Source organism: Homo sapiens, chromosome 8 (genome assembly GCF_000001405.40).
Source record: "Homo sapiens chromosome 8, GRCh38.p14 Primary Assembly".
Taxonomy (NCBI): Eukaryota; Metazoa; Chordata; class Mammalia; order Primates; family Hominidae; genus Homo; species Homo sapiens.
In genome coordinates, this window is record NC_000008.11 from 78,671,407 (window position 1) to 78,683,931 (window position 12,525).

Below are 12,525 nucleotides of genomic sequence, written 5' to 3' on the forward strand. Positions count from 1 at the left end.
GCTCTCTGATATAATATTCACCAATAATCACCCCTCTGAATATCATCTTTCTCTTGTATTTTTATAAGCTGCAAAATTTGCTAGTTTTTGCCACTTAGGAAAGGTTAGTGGAGATTGCCTGCATGCCTTGGAAAGTAATATTTTTTATTTCTGTAGGTTATGAAACATTTTTATATGTAATAATTGATCCTCTGAAATTTTAAAGTAAATTGAGCAGATATTAGCCTCATTTAACTGTTGTTAAACTGAGTCTGCCTATATGATTATCATATATTTCTTTCTAATTCATGTCTTAAAGGCTTCTCTAACAAGGAGTTCTTTGCTGTAGGTCCTTTCAGGTTCTCAGTTCTCTGTGTAGATAAGTGGAAGTTATTTCCTTAATGTGGTGTACACTACCTGAAGCATTCGTTCTACCATCTGCAGTTGGTTTAATCATTCTTATATATAAACTTTATTTAAAAAGTCAGTAAGAAAGATGTCTTCCATGTACTTTTCTTGCTAATGTAGTCTTAAGGTAGATTTTGTTAAATTACCGTACGTTACAGATAAAAAGGGACCGTATGTCATTTAACTTAACTTCCTTATTTTATGTAAGGAAATCTAAACCTTAGAGAGCTTAAGTATCTTGCCTGAGGACTCATAGTTCTCAGTGACAGAGCTGGGGACTTGAAGTTAGATAATGTAAGACAAATTCCAGTGCTTTTTCAACTATACTGTCATGTCTTTTAATGAATTTAATTAGAGCAAAATGTGGCTTTTGACTCTGAGGCCTAAGGTATTTATCATGATCTGGGTAGAAGATTCTATTAATATTTTTTTAAAAATTATTTTAGTAATAAAATTTATATCCAGGCACATGATGATTATTTTAATTGAGAGAAAGGTACAGCCACTTTATTATTTAATTAGTTGTGTGTGTGAGGTCAGAATATTTTAACCCCTTGGTCCAATTAATCTTAATATAAGTATCATATGTATAAAATAACAATTCAAATAATACATGCGGTTTGCATAACTAGGTGATCTTAACCTTATAGCAGTATGCTTTCTATTATCTGGTGATAAAGAGAAAACGATTTTTTTTACCCTACACTCTGCAGATCAACTCAGTATGTCACTTAACTGATCACCAGCAGTATTTCTTCATGCCTTGGAGATTAATAAGATAAATTTTGTTTTTAAGGTTTAGTAATTTACCGTAGAGATAACCTTTAAGATAAAAGAACATGACAAATTGATTTGGTTAAAATAATTACAAGAAAACTACATATTTCCAACTAATCAGCTTGGTTATCCTTAAATTATGACTTTTCTGTGTTTATTCTGGTCTTTTTGCCCACTGGTAACTCTTAAGCCCATTTTAATTGATAATTTTTCTTACTTCAAATTACAGTAAGAAATTTGTTTTACAGCAACTGACAACTTACCAATGAAACTAAAGAAAACATTATAATGTGAAGTTTCACAATTTAAACTACATAAATTATTTTTAATTTTTTTTTTAATTTTACTTTAAGTTCTGGGCTACATGTGCAGAACGTGCAGGCTTGTTATACAGGTATACATGTGCCATGGTGGTTTGCTGCACCCATCAACCTGTCATCTAGGTTTTAAGCCCCACATGCATTAGGTATTTGTCTTAATGCTCTCCCTCCTTTTGCCTCCCACCCCCTGACAGGCCCTGGAGTGTGATGTTCCCCTCCCTGTGTCCATGTGTTCTCATTGTTCAGCTCCCACTTATGAATAAGAACATGCGGTGTTTGATTTTCTGTTCCTGTGTTAGTTTGCTGAGAAAGATGGTTTCCAGCTTCATCCATGTCCCTGCAAAGGACATGAACTCATTCTTTTTTATGGCTGCATAGTATTCCATGGTAGACATGTGCCACATTTTGTTTATCCAGTCTATCATTGATGGGCATTTGGGTTGGTTCTAAGTCTTTGCTATTGTAAATAGTGCTGCAGTAAGCATACGTGTGCATGTGTCTTTATAGTAGAATGATTTATAATACTTTGGGTACATACCCGGTAATGGGATTGCTGGGTCAAATGGTATTTCTGGTTCTAGATCCTTGAAGAATCACCACACTGACTTCCACAATGGTTGAATTAATTTACACTCCTACCAACAGTGTAAAAGTGTTCCTATTTCTCCACATCCTCTCCAACATCTGTTGTTTCCTGACTTTTTAATGATCGCCATTCTAACTGGCGTGAGATGGTATTCTGTTTTAGAGAATGAAAGCGTTGTCCAAATTGGAGAATTGTTACCTTGCTACCGGGTAGAAGTTCCCTCCGTAGGTCTTGACATCAACACACATGCACATGCCATATTTTGTCAATTATAGTGCTATGCTCTATGACCAGCTAATATTAGAGGACATTATAAATTTATATATGTGTTTTATATATATCTTTATTTTGGGTGAAGTAATGACATTCTTCTCTAAACAATATTTCTTTGGGGGATAATTGCTTTTAAATTATCCCCAAATAGCATTATTTTAAAATGGTATTGTATCTGTTTATGCCTTATAGTGATAATAATTTTCGTTTTTTAAAAAAACATTTTAAACATGTTTGATAACTTGTGGAAATTAATGTCAAGAACTGGATATTATTATATGGTAATATTTGGTTGCTTTATGTTTTAATTTTTTGTATGAAAAATAGGAGTTGATTTGGTTCTTAGATCTATTTAATAAGTAAATAATATAGATTATGTTAGCTTTATGAGAGCAATAATTGTGTTATTCTGTCCTTGTGTTAATATTACTTAGTACATGCTTGGTACGTGGTTTTTCTATGTGCTGAATCCATTTTTGTCAATAGTTAATTTTTATAAGATTTTGCTTTGTCATCTAAGAAGTAGATAAGCAAATACACTTTTAAGCAAGTATAATATGTGGTGCTTTTTAATATTTTGTATTGATGAATTTTAAAATCATTGCTTAGTATTTAAAGGAATACGTTAAAACTATAAGCAAGCTTAATAGATTAGTTAGCGTGTGATGTTACTGAGACCATCATTTTGAAGACTGTCTTATCTAAATGAACCTAATGGTTTCCATTTAGTAACTCTGGATTGTTAGTGGACTTAAGTGATCCAGATAAATGAGATTGCCCTCCCTAAATAACTTAGCTCCTGGTGTTGGAGAAGGACAAGTCAGGCAAATCTTAGCTTTGCTTTTGTAGTGTTGACTGCTTAACTGCTACTACACAACATTGCCTCCATCTGAGATGAAAAGTAATCACTATCCACCAGTCAAGTAGGGCAGTGGAGTAAGAAATGAGAAAACAAAACAGTTCTTCTGTTACTGTATTTGAATGCATTCTTACCAATATCTATTTTGGTTTGCCTGTTTAGTTCTCTGTGAACTCACTAAATGTCTTGGATCAGGTTATATGGAGTTATATAATTGTACTTTTTAAAATTAGTTTGTTACTTCTAAAGAAAAATGTTTTTCTATTTGTCTTTCATATGATAAAAGAATTTTAGCATCTCTAAAATATTCAGCAGAAACTATGGGGAACATGTTACATGTTTAAGTATCATTTTTAGGAAATTATAGCTATGAAAACAAGTTTATGTTTGATATTTGGAAATAAAATAAAATGACAAAATGAATTATGCAGAATCACAAAGAATGCAGTTTCTTTTTTTGTAGTTTCTTTTTTTTTCTTTTTAGTAATAACATTTGTTGTATTCAGTTACATGATAGTTATATTAATTTTATTAATAATTGAGTGAAAGTTGTAGCTACCTCTTTATTTAATTTTGTTTGTAAGGTCAGAATATCTCCATTTACTAGTCCACTGACTCTTAATATAAGTATTATATGTATAAAATAATAATTCACATAATACATGTAATTTGCATAACTAGGTGATCTTAATCTTATAGCATTGTACTTTCTATTGTTTGGTGGTAAACAGAGTAAGATTCGTTTTATTCTAGATTCTTCAAATCATCTCAGGAAGTCACTGAACTCATCACTAATGGTATTTCTTCATGCCTTGGAAATTAATAAGATAAATTTTGTTCTTAAAATGTAGTAATTTACCATAGAGATAGCCTATAAGTTAAGAGAATATGACAAATTGATTTGCTTAAAATAATTACAAGAAAACTAGATATTTCCAGCAGTATCAGTTTGGATATCTTTAAATCATGACTCCTCCATATTTATCCTGACCTTTTTCACCACTGATAACTAAGTATTATGCTCCTTTTCATAGATAATTTTGCTTATTTCAAAATGCAGTAAAACATTTTTCACAAAAACTGATAATTTACCTATAAAACTAAGAGAAAACATTAAAATGTGAAGTTTCACAATTTCAAGTTATATAAATTATTTATTAAATTCCTTCCTGTTTTAGAGAATGGAGGTGTTGTCCAAGTTGGAGAATTGTTACCTTGCAAGATTTGTGGAAGAACATTCTTTCCAGTAGCATTAGTGAGTAGACTGATTTTGTACCTTTATGGTTTTACAGATCTGTAATTGTTCAATAATTCTGGTCAATTCTCATGGGAAGAATTTACGTGGAATAGTTTTTGAAGAGTTAATGGGTACTATTCTTTGTTCAAGGGTCTTGATTTCAGCTATGCCATTCTTCCAGAATGCTTTCTTTCCTTCAGAGTTTGGTCTTCAGAACTCTTCTGTTAAAGTTTAAAGGTATTCCTCATTTTACGAGACTCTTACCAAAAACAAACAAAATAAAAAAAAAAAAACAAAATCAGATACCTTAGAAATAAGTAATTATTTACAGATACAAAATAATATAATGTCTGTAATTTGCTTTATAGTACTTCAGGAAAAAATCAGGGATAGATGAAACAAAATAGCTAAAATGTTGGGAGTTGTTGAAGCTGGGTGATGAGTAGTAAATGGTAGTTAATTATCCTTTTCTGTCAGCTCTTATTTATGTTTGAGATGTTTCAAAGACAAAGACTTTTTCAATGTAAAAGTACACCTAAAATTTATTATGCATTCTTAAGATATGTTAGCTACTTAGTAAGTACAAATAAAAACGCTTTTAACTAATCTTAATAAAGTTAGCTAACTAAATAGGGAATAATAAAAATTATGCCTATGTACCTTACGTATTTTAACTTCAAACACAAATACACATTTATTAATACTTTAATGTAAGACAGAATTTTTCTGTGAATGTATATCTGCTGATTAAAGTTCTGCCATGATCCACTGTGCATCCTCTTACTATTTCTAGTTTGTTTCTTTAAAGCAAAGTGAGGAATTAATGATCCAAAGTGTCCTTCTGACTGTAGGCACCTTTTAAATAATGATGGCTTTTTTGTAATCTTTTAAAAACATCTTGCCCACACATTCAATGATTTTTTTCTTATCAATTTATTATTTTTCAGAGTGTTCAGCTGAATTTCACAGCAAAAAAAAAGTGCCTTTTTTGGCTCTCATTTATGTGGTATTTAACTTAATGATGTTATTATAACACCTGAAACTTGAATTATGTTGGGAAACAAGCACCACATACACTTGACATATATAACTTAATAAGGAACATATGTACATGGGTCCACTAGATAGTCATCTGCTATCCTCATTTTTTAAAAATACTTAAGAGCTGTAATTACAGTGCTTGGTTGTTGAAATGAAAACTGAAAATAAGTATGTAAAACACTTGATTGCTAATTGTGTACTGAAAGCCTAAGAGGCTGCAAGACACGAAATAATCCAGTTTTGAGGTTTTATTTTTTCCCAAAGTTTGACAGTTCTACCTTCTTTAGTGTTTGTCAAAATACAAAAGAAAAAAGAGTATTTAGTTTACCGATGTCATCAATCATCATGCTTAATATAGTGGAGGGAGAATGTTTATCCAGTTGGCTTATTGGAGGTCATTTAAGACAGCTTCCATTCTAATGTCCCTAAACTGAATAACTGAATAAATGAATGAATGGACAACTCTTTAAAAAAAAAAATCTGAATAGTAGTAGAACACTAGATAAGCTCAAGAAAAATCTTAGGCGAAGAAAACTGCAAAGTTTGAGTTCCAGAAGGGAGGAAAAGAATTAGTATGGGAGAAGGACACAAATCAGACCACCTGTCCTATTATTTTGTGTTAACTTTATATTAGCATATTACTATTATGTTAACTTTAGTAATCCAAACTACTACTCTTACATTAACTTTTGTAATCCTAAAACTAATGTATTCTTTGTATTTTCTTTTTCTAGTATCTATGTTCAGGCATTTAGTGGAGACTTTTTTTTTTGCAGTGTAGTAACTTTGACTTTGTTACTTTTTCTTATTCTTAGTGTTACAGGGCAGATAAATATTTTACAGAAAAAGGGTCCCAATCCAGACACTAAGAGAGAGTTTTTGGATTTTGCACAGGAAACAATTTAGGGCGAGTTCGCAGTGCAAAGTAAAAGCAAGTTGATTAAGAAAGTAAAGGAATGAAAGAACGGGTACTCCATAGACAGAGCAGCCCTGAAGGCTGCTGGTTGCCCACTTTTATGGTTATTTCTTGATGATATGCTAAACAAGGGGTGGATTATTCATGCTTCCTCTTTTTAAACCATATAGGGTAACTTCCTGATGTTGCCATGGCATTTGCAAACTGTCATGGCGCTGGTGGGAGTGTAGCAGTGAGAATGACCAGAGGTCACTCTCGTCACCATTTTTGTTTTGGTGGGTTTTGCCTGGCTTCTCTAGTGCAACCTGTTTTTATTAGAAAGGTCTTTATGATCTGTATTTTGTGCTGATCTCCTATCTTATTCTGTGACTTAGAATGCCTTAACTATCTGGGAATGCAGTCCAGTAGGTTTCAGCCTCATTTTACTCAGCTCCTGTTTAAGATGGAGTTGTTCTCTTTCACACACTTCTGACATTAGTAATGTACAAACTAGGAGAAGAGTATTAAATAACTTAATGACATGTTAGAAGAGTGTTTATAATTTTTTTTAGTGAGAAAGATAACTTAGAGCGTGCATTATATATACGTTTTACAACTTAACATTTGGTTAAGGCAAGGTGTATCTTATTTATTTATTATTTTGTATTCAGGTTTTTCATTTGGTCTCAGATTTTTAAACTGGTCTCAATGTAAATAAAGTTCTGTAGTCTTACCTTCTGTAGAAAAGAAAATGATAGGCTGCATTTCTTTATCTTAACAGAAAAAACATGGACCCATTTGCCAGAAGACTGCAACTAAAAAACGGAAGACTTTTGATTCAAGCAGACAGAGAGCTGAAGGAACTGATATTCCAACAGTAAAACCTCTCAAACCGAGGGTAACTATATAACCTTTTGAACAGTATGAACTTTGGTGTTATGTATGTTGAAAAATATTATATTATCTGTTACAGTAAGGTTAAGAATAAACACAATTATCTGCTACATTAAGATTAAAGAATAAATACAATTCTGTGTTATATGTTCAGTTTAGAAATTATCTGAAGCTTATAAAACAAATTTTATTTTAAAAAATAAGCTTCTAAACTTCAAAGAAGAGACCAAGGTGCTGTTTCAAACTCCATCAATTACAGTGAGATTTTTATAGCATTGGAGAGCCAATTGCTGTCCCACATTCTTTTCAAGTCATTATTAAAAACTTTTGATATAACTTAAGTTTTGATTCATTTCATCTTCTACCATTATGATAATCTCTACATCCAAAAAGTTAAGCCATTATTTACAGACATTTTAGCATAATAGATACTGCTTATTTTGACATATTGACTGCCAGGATTTGTAATCTATATTATGTTTCTAAGGAAAAGTTTTATCTGTTGTTCAGTGTCCAGATATAGTTATTGTCAGCTTATTTTCTTTCTTGAAACCAAAGCAATGAATCTATTGTGATAATCTCTCCTTAATATCTGTTATATATTATAGTAATCCCTTGGTATCTGTGGGAGATTGGTTCCAGGGACTCGCCTCTGATATCAATATCTGTGGATACTCAAACTCCTTATGGCATAGTATTTGCATATAACTTATGCACATCCTCCCATGTGCTTTATGTCTAGATTACTTATAATTTAATGCTATGTAAATAGTTGTTGAATTGTGTCTTTAATTTATGTTACTTTTTATTGTTATATGGTTATTTATTTTTTTCCTGAAAGTTTCTGATTCATGGTTGACTGAATCCATGGATGCACAAGCCATGAATATGGAACCCATGGGTAGTAAGGGCCAACTGTGTATTGCTAAGAATAAATTACTTAAGAACTTATTCAGCATAGTTGAAAAGCATCATTTCAGTGAAGTGATTTAAGCTAAGTACCTGATTGAATAGGTTTTTTAAACAGAATCCTACTGTTAATGGTAATAACTTCTTCCAGTGGTATAAGAACATTTTTCTAGGGGGAAATTAATCTTACTAATAAAAAATCATTTGATGATAGAAAAATTAGATGTTCATTTTTGTTTTTTACTGTGAACATTTAAAGTAAGGATGGTGGGGTTTGAATAAGCTGTATAAATCAATATATGACGTTTTTCTTAGTTACCTGCTGCCTATATTAGCTTTAATTTGCTTCGGTAGATAAAATTGCCAAATCTTTGGAAGCAGTGTAATATAGTGGGTGTTAAAATTGGCTCAAGAGTCAGACTGTCTGAATTTAACTTTCACTTTGCTACATACCGTATTATTCTGGGCAAGTTATTTAATGTAATTATGCTTCTGTTCACTGTAACATGGTGATAGTAGTAGTATTTATCTTGTGTGGTTATTGTAGGGATTACATAAGATTATCCATGGTGATTTCAATGAATATTAGTCATCCTGTTTCTTTTATAAGGAATTGGGGTTGTAAACTTAAAAATTGAATTCTAGAAAAAAGCAAAGTACAGTCCGCAGTCCGGCCTGGGCGACAGAGCGAGACTCCGTCTCAAAAAAAAAAAAAAAAAAAAAAAAAAAAAGCAAAGTAAAAACCATTGCTTTGTATTAAGTGGTTTATTGCCTTGTTACCTAAAACTGTGGCCCACAGAGCAGTAATAGTGGCAGTATTTGGAAACTTGTTAGACATACAGAATCTCAGCCTCCTCCCAAACATACTGAATTAGAATTATTTTAAGAACATCCTTGGGTGAGTCGTATGCACATTAAAGTTTGAGAAGCAGTGTCTTAGAAGATTTGAATGTTGTAAGTGTAGTTCTTAATATATTTACCTGTATCAAGAAAATCCTACAAAATCATAAGCAGAGTGGGGCAAAGCAACTACAAACTTCATTTTTGGAAAAACAAAAGGTAGGCATAATTCATAGATTATCAAATATATGTAAGGATTGCCCCAAAGCAGTTGAAATCCAGGAGAAATTACCCGTAAGAGGAGGTATAGGAAATTGCTTGGGGGCCTGTGGCTGGATTCTGGAAATCTGCTACCTTAAAGTTGAGGGGTTTCCTCATCTTAAAAGTGATTCCTTAAAGGTGAGAGATCTTATCAGATAGTATCTTTATCTCTTGTTTAGTATAGGCAAGACAGAAACTGGGAGGAGCTGTAGGAATTTGGATAGCTACCAGCTGGAATGAGCAGGGCTGAAATTGTATAAAAGTCAGGAGGGAGAGAATGGTGGGAGTAGGAACAGAGAGTTGAGGAGGCCTAGTGGCAGAGGCCCTTAGAAAACATTAGTGAAAATCCCTTTCCTGAAGATGAGGGGCCTAACATAAAAGGCTGTGACCTTTTTTTTTTTTGAAGTGGTTCTCATAGGATCTGAGGGAAGCAGGGTGTAATTACACAGAGACGCCTTATTTGCAGGAACTAGTCTGAATCTGTTGCAACAGAGAGGAGAGCTGCTAGTTTGTATAGCTACCCTGGGCCTCTCCTCCCTAAAACTTCTTGCAAATAGCTGTACCAGGAAATCTATGCTGAATAGTAGAAATGAATAATAGAAGCGATGAATAATAGAAAATATATTAGCTCAGCATTGATAAAAGATACTATGAGAAAAAAGGTAGAAAAGAACAGCAGAACATCAGTAGATGAGTAATAATCACAGAGCAGATGAATGTTGTGATCAGATATTTTGCTGTAAAATAAGAAATGTTAAAGAGTCAGTAATCTCAAACATCTAAATTTGCTGACGTTTAAGATTTTTGCATTTATATTAATCAGAGAAGTAGATAATGTCATTCTTTTTGTCAGAGTTTTGCTGCTCTCGGAACACTGTTTGGAAAGTTGTTTCGTTGTTTTCTATTCCCTGAAAGAGTTTGTGTAATATTGATGCTAGATTTTTCTTATATGTCTACAAAAATTAAAAATTAAAGGTAGCTGAGCCAGGAGGTTTCTTTGTGGGAAGGAAAATATTTTCTAAAATAAATGACATTTTGATTTTATATTTGTTCTGGTATCTGTTTTGTTGTGTTTTCCAAGGACATTGCCCATTTTGTCATAATTATTAAATTTATTGGCATACAATTTCTTTATAATATCTTCTTGTCTTTTTCATATTTGTGTATTATTTTTAATTCCTTCATAATTTGAGTTCTCTTTTTTCCTTTTTCTTTCTTTTTTTTTTTTTTCTTTTTTTTGAGACAGGGATCTTACTATGTTGACCAGGCTGGTGTTGAACTCCTGGCCTCAGGTGATTTCTGCCACTTTCACCTCCCAAAATGTGGGGATTACAGGCATGAGCCGTCATACCTAGCCATCTTTTAAAGTACCATCTTTTGACTTTGTGGATTCAACACATAATTCTTGATTTTAAAAATATAGACATAGTAGGAATAGTTGGGTATCTCAATAATATTACAAAATAAATCTTTGTAGCATGTGAGCCAGCATCATGTTTAGTGGAGGACACTAGAGGCAGTTCCCATTAAAATCAAGGAGAAGGTTAAACTGTAACCAATACCATAAGTGCCAGCCAATACAGTTAGATAAGAAGAAGAAATTGGATGCATAGATGTATTAGTCCATTTTCCTACTGCTATTAAGAAATATCGGAGACTGGGTAATTTATAAAGAAAAGGAGGTTTAAGGGACTTAAACTTCCATGTGGCCGAGGAGGCCTCACATCATGGTGGAAGGTGAAGAAGGAACAAAGTCACATCTTACATGGCGGCAGACAAGAGCAGGGGAACTTCCCTTTTTAATAAAACCATCAGATCTCGCAAGACTTATTCACTATCACGAGCACAACACAGGAAAAACCTGCCCCCGTGATTCAATTACCTCCCAATGGGTTCCTCCCACAACCTGTGGGGATTATGAGAACTACAATTCAAGATGAGATTTGTATGGGGACACAGCCAAACCATATCATTCTGTCCCTGGCCACTCCCAAATTTCATGCCCTCACATTTCAAAACCAATCATGCCTTCCCAACAGTCCCCCAAAGTCTTAACTCATTTCAGCATTAACCCTAAAGTCCACAGTTCAATCTGAGACAAGGCAAGTTTCTTCTGCCTGTGAGTCTCTAAAATCAAAAACAAGTTAGTTACTTCCTAGATACAATAGGGATACAGACATTGGGTAAATACACCCATTCTAAATTGGAGAAATGGGCCAAAACAAAGGGGCCACAGGCTCCATGCAAGTCTGAAATCCATGAGGGCAGTCATTAAACCTTAAAGCTCTGAAACGATCTCCTTTGACTCCATGTCTCACATCCAGGTCATGCTGGTTCAAAAGATGGGCTCCCATGGCCTTGGGCAGCTCTACCCCTTTGTCTTTGCAGGGTACAGCCCCCCTCCTCCTGGCTGCTTTCTTGGGCTGGCATTGAGTGTCTGCAACTTTTCCAGGCACACAATGCAACCTGTCGGTGGATCTACCATTCTGGGGTCTGGAGGATGGTGGCCCTCTTCTCACAGCTCCACTAGGCATGCCCCAGTGGGGCCTCTGTGTGTGGACTCCAATCTCTTATTTCCCTTTTGCAGTGCCCTAGCAGAGGTTCTCCATGAGGGCCCCGCCCCTGAAACAAACTTCTTCCTGGACATCCAGGTGTTTCCATACATTCTCTGAAATCTAGTCAGAGGCTCCCAAACCTCAACTCTTGATTTCTGTGCACCTGTGGGCTCAACACCATGTGGAAGCTGCCAAGGCTTTGGGCTTGCACCTCTGAAGCCATGGCTCAACTTGTACCTTGGCCCCTTTTAGCCATGCCTGGAGCAGCTGGGACGCAGGGCACCAAATCCCTACGCTGCACACAGTAGGGGGGCCCTGGACCTGGCCTAGGAAACCATTTTTCCCTTCTAGGCCTCTGAACCTGTGATGGGAGGGGCTGCCCTGAAGGTCTCTGATGTGCCCTGGAGGCATTTTTCCCTTTGTCTTGGTGATTAACATTCCATTACTTGTTACTCATGCAAATTTTTTCAGCAGCCATGAATTTCTCCCCAGGAAATGGATTTTTCTTTTCTGTTACATCATTAGGCTGCAAATTTTCCAAACTTATATATTCTGCTTCCTCTTGAATGCTTTGCTCCCCAGAAATTTCTTCCACCAGAAACCTTAAATCATCTTTCCCAAGTTTAAAGCCACAGATCTCTATTGCAACAGCAAAATGCTACCAGTCTCTTTGCTAAAGCATAACAAGAAT

The 12,525-nt window shown here is 34.3% G+C and overlaps 2 protein-coding genes across 5 annotated transcripts in view; one reads left to right on the forward strand and one right to left on the reverse strand.

Annotated features, from left to right (window-relative positions):
• The window catches only part of ZC2HC1A (zinc finger C2HC-type containing 1A), a 53,677-nt gene that overhangs the window by 5,318 nt on the left and 35,834 nt on the right, over window positions 1-12,525 (forward strand). For all 4 annotated transcript variants that reach the window (NR_156423.2, NM_001362969.2, NM_016010.3 and 1 more), the window contains exons 2-3: window positions 4,381-4,457; window positions 7,157-7,273. Coding sequence is in view for 3 of the 4 variants with exons in the window: in NM_001362969.2 (NP_001349898.1) it covers window positions 4,381-4,457; window positions 7,157-7,273 (194 nt within the window). In the remaining variant the exon portion in view is untranslated. The remainder of the gene's footprint in view (window positions 1-4,380; window positions 4,458-7,156; window positions 7,274-12,525) is intronic.
• The window catches only part of IL7 (interleukin 7), a 130,420-nt gene continuing 121,532 nt past the window's right edge, over window positions 3,638-12,525 (reverse strand). Inside the window, exon 6 of the mRNA XM_011517523.4 lies at window positions 3,638-4,698. Coding sequence (XP_011515825.1) covers window positions 4,684-4,698 — 15 coding nt within the window. The 3' untranslated portion in view covers window positions 3,638-4,683. The remainder of the gene's footprint in view (window positions 4,699-12,525) is intronic.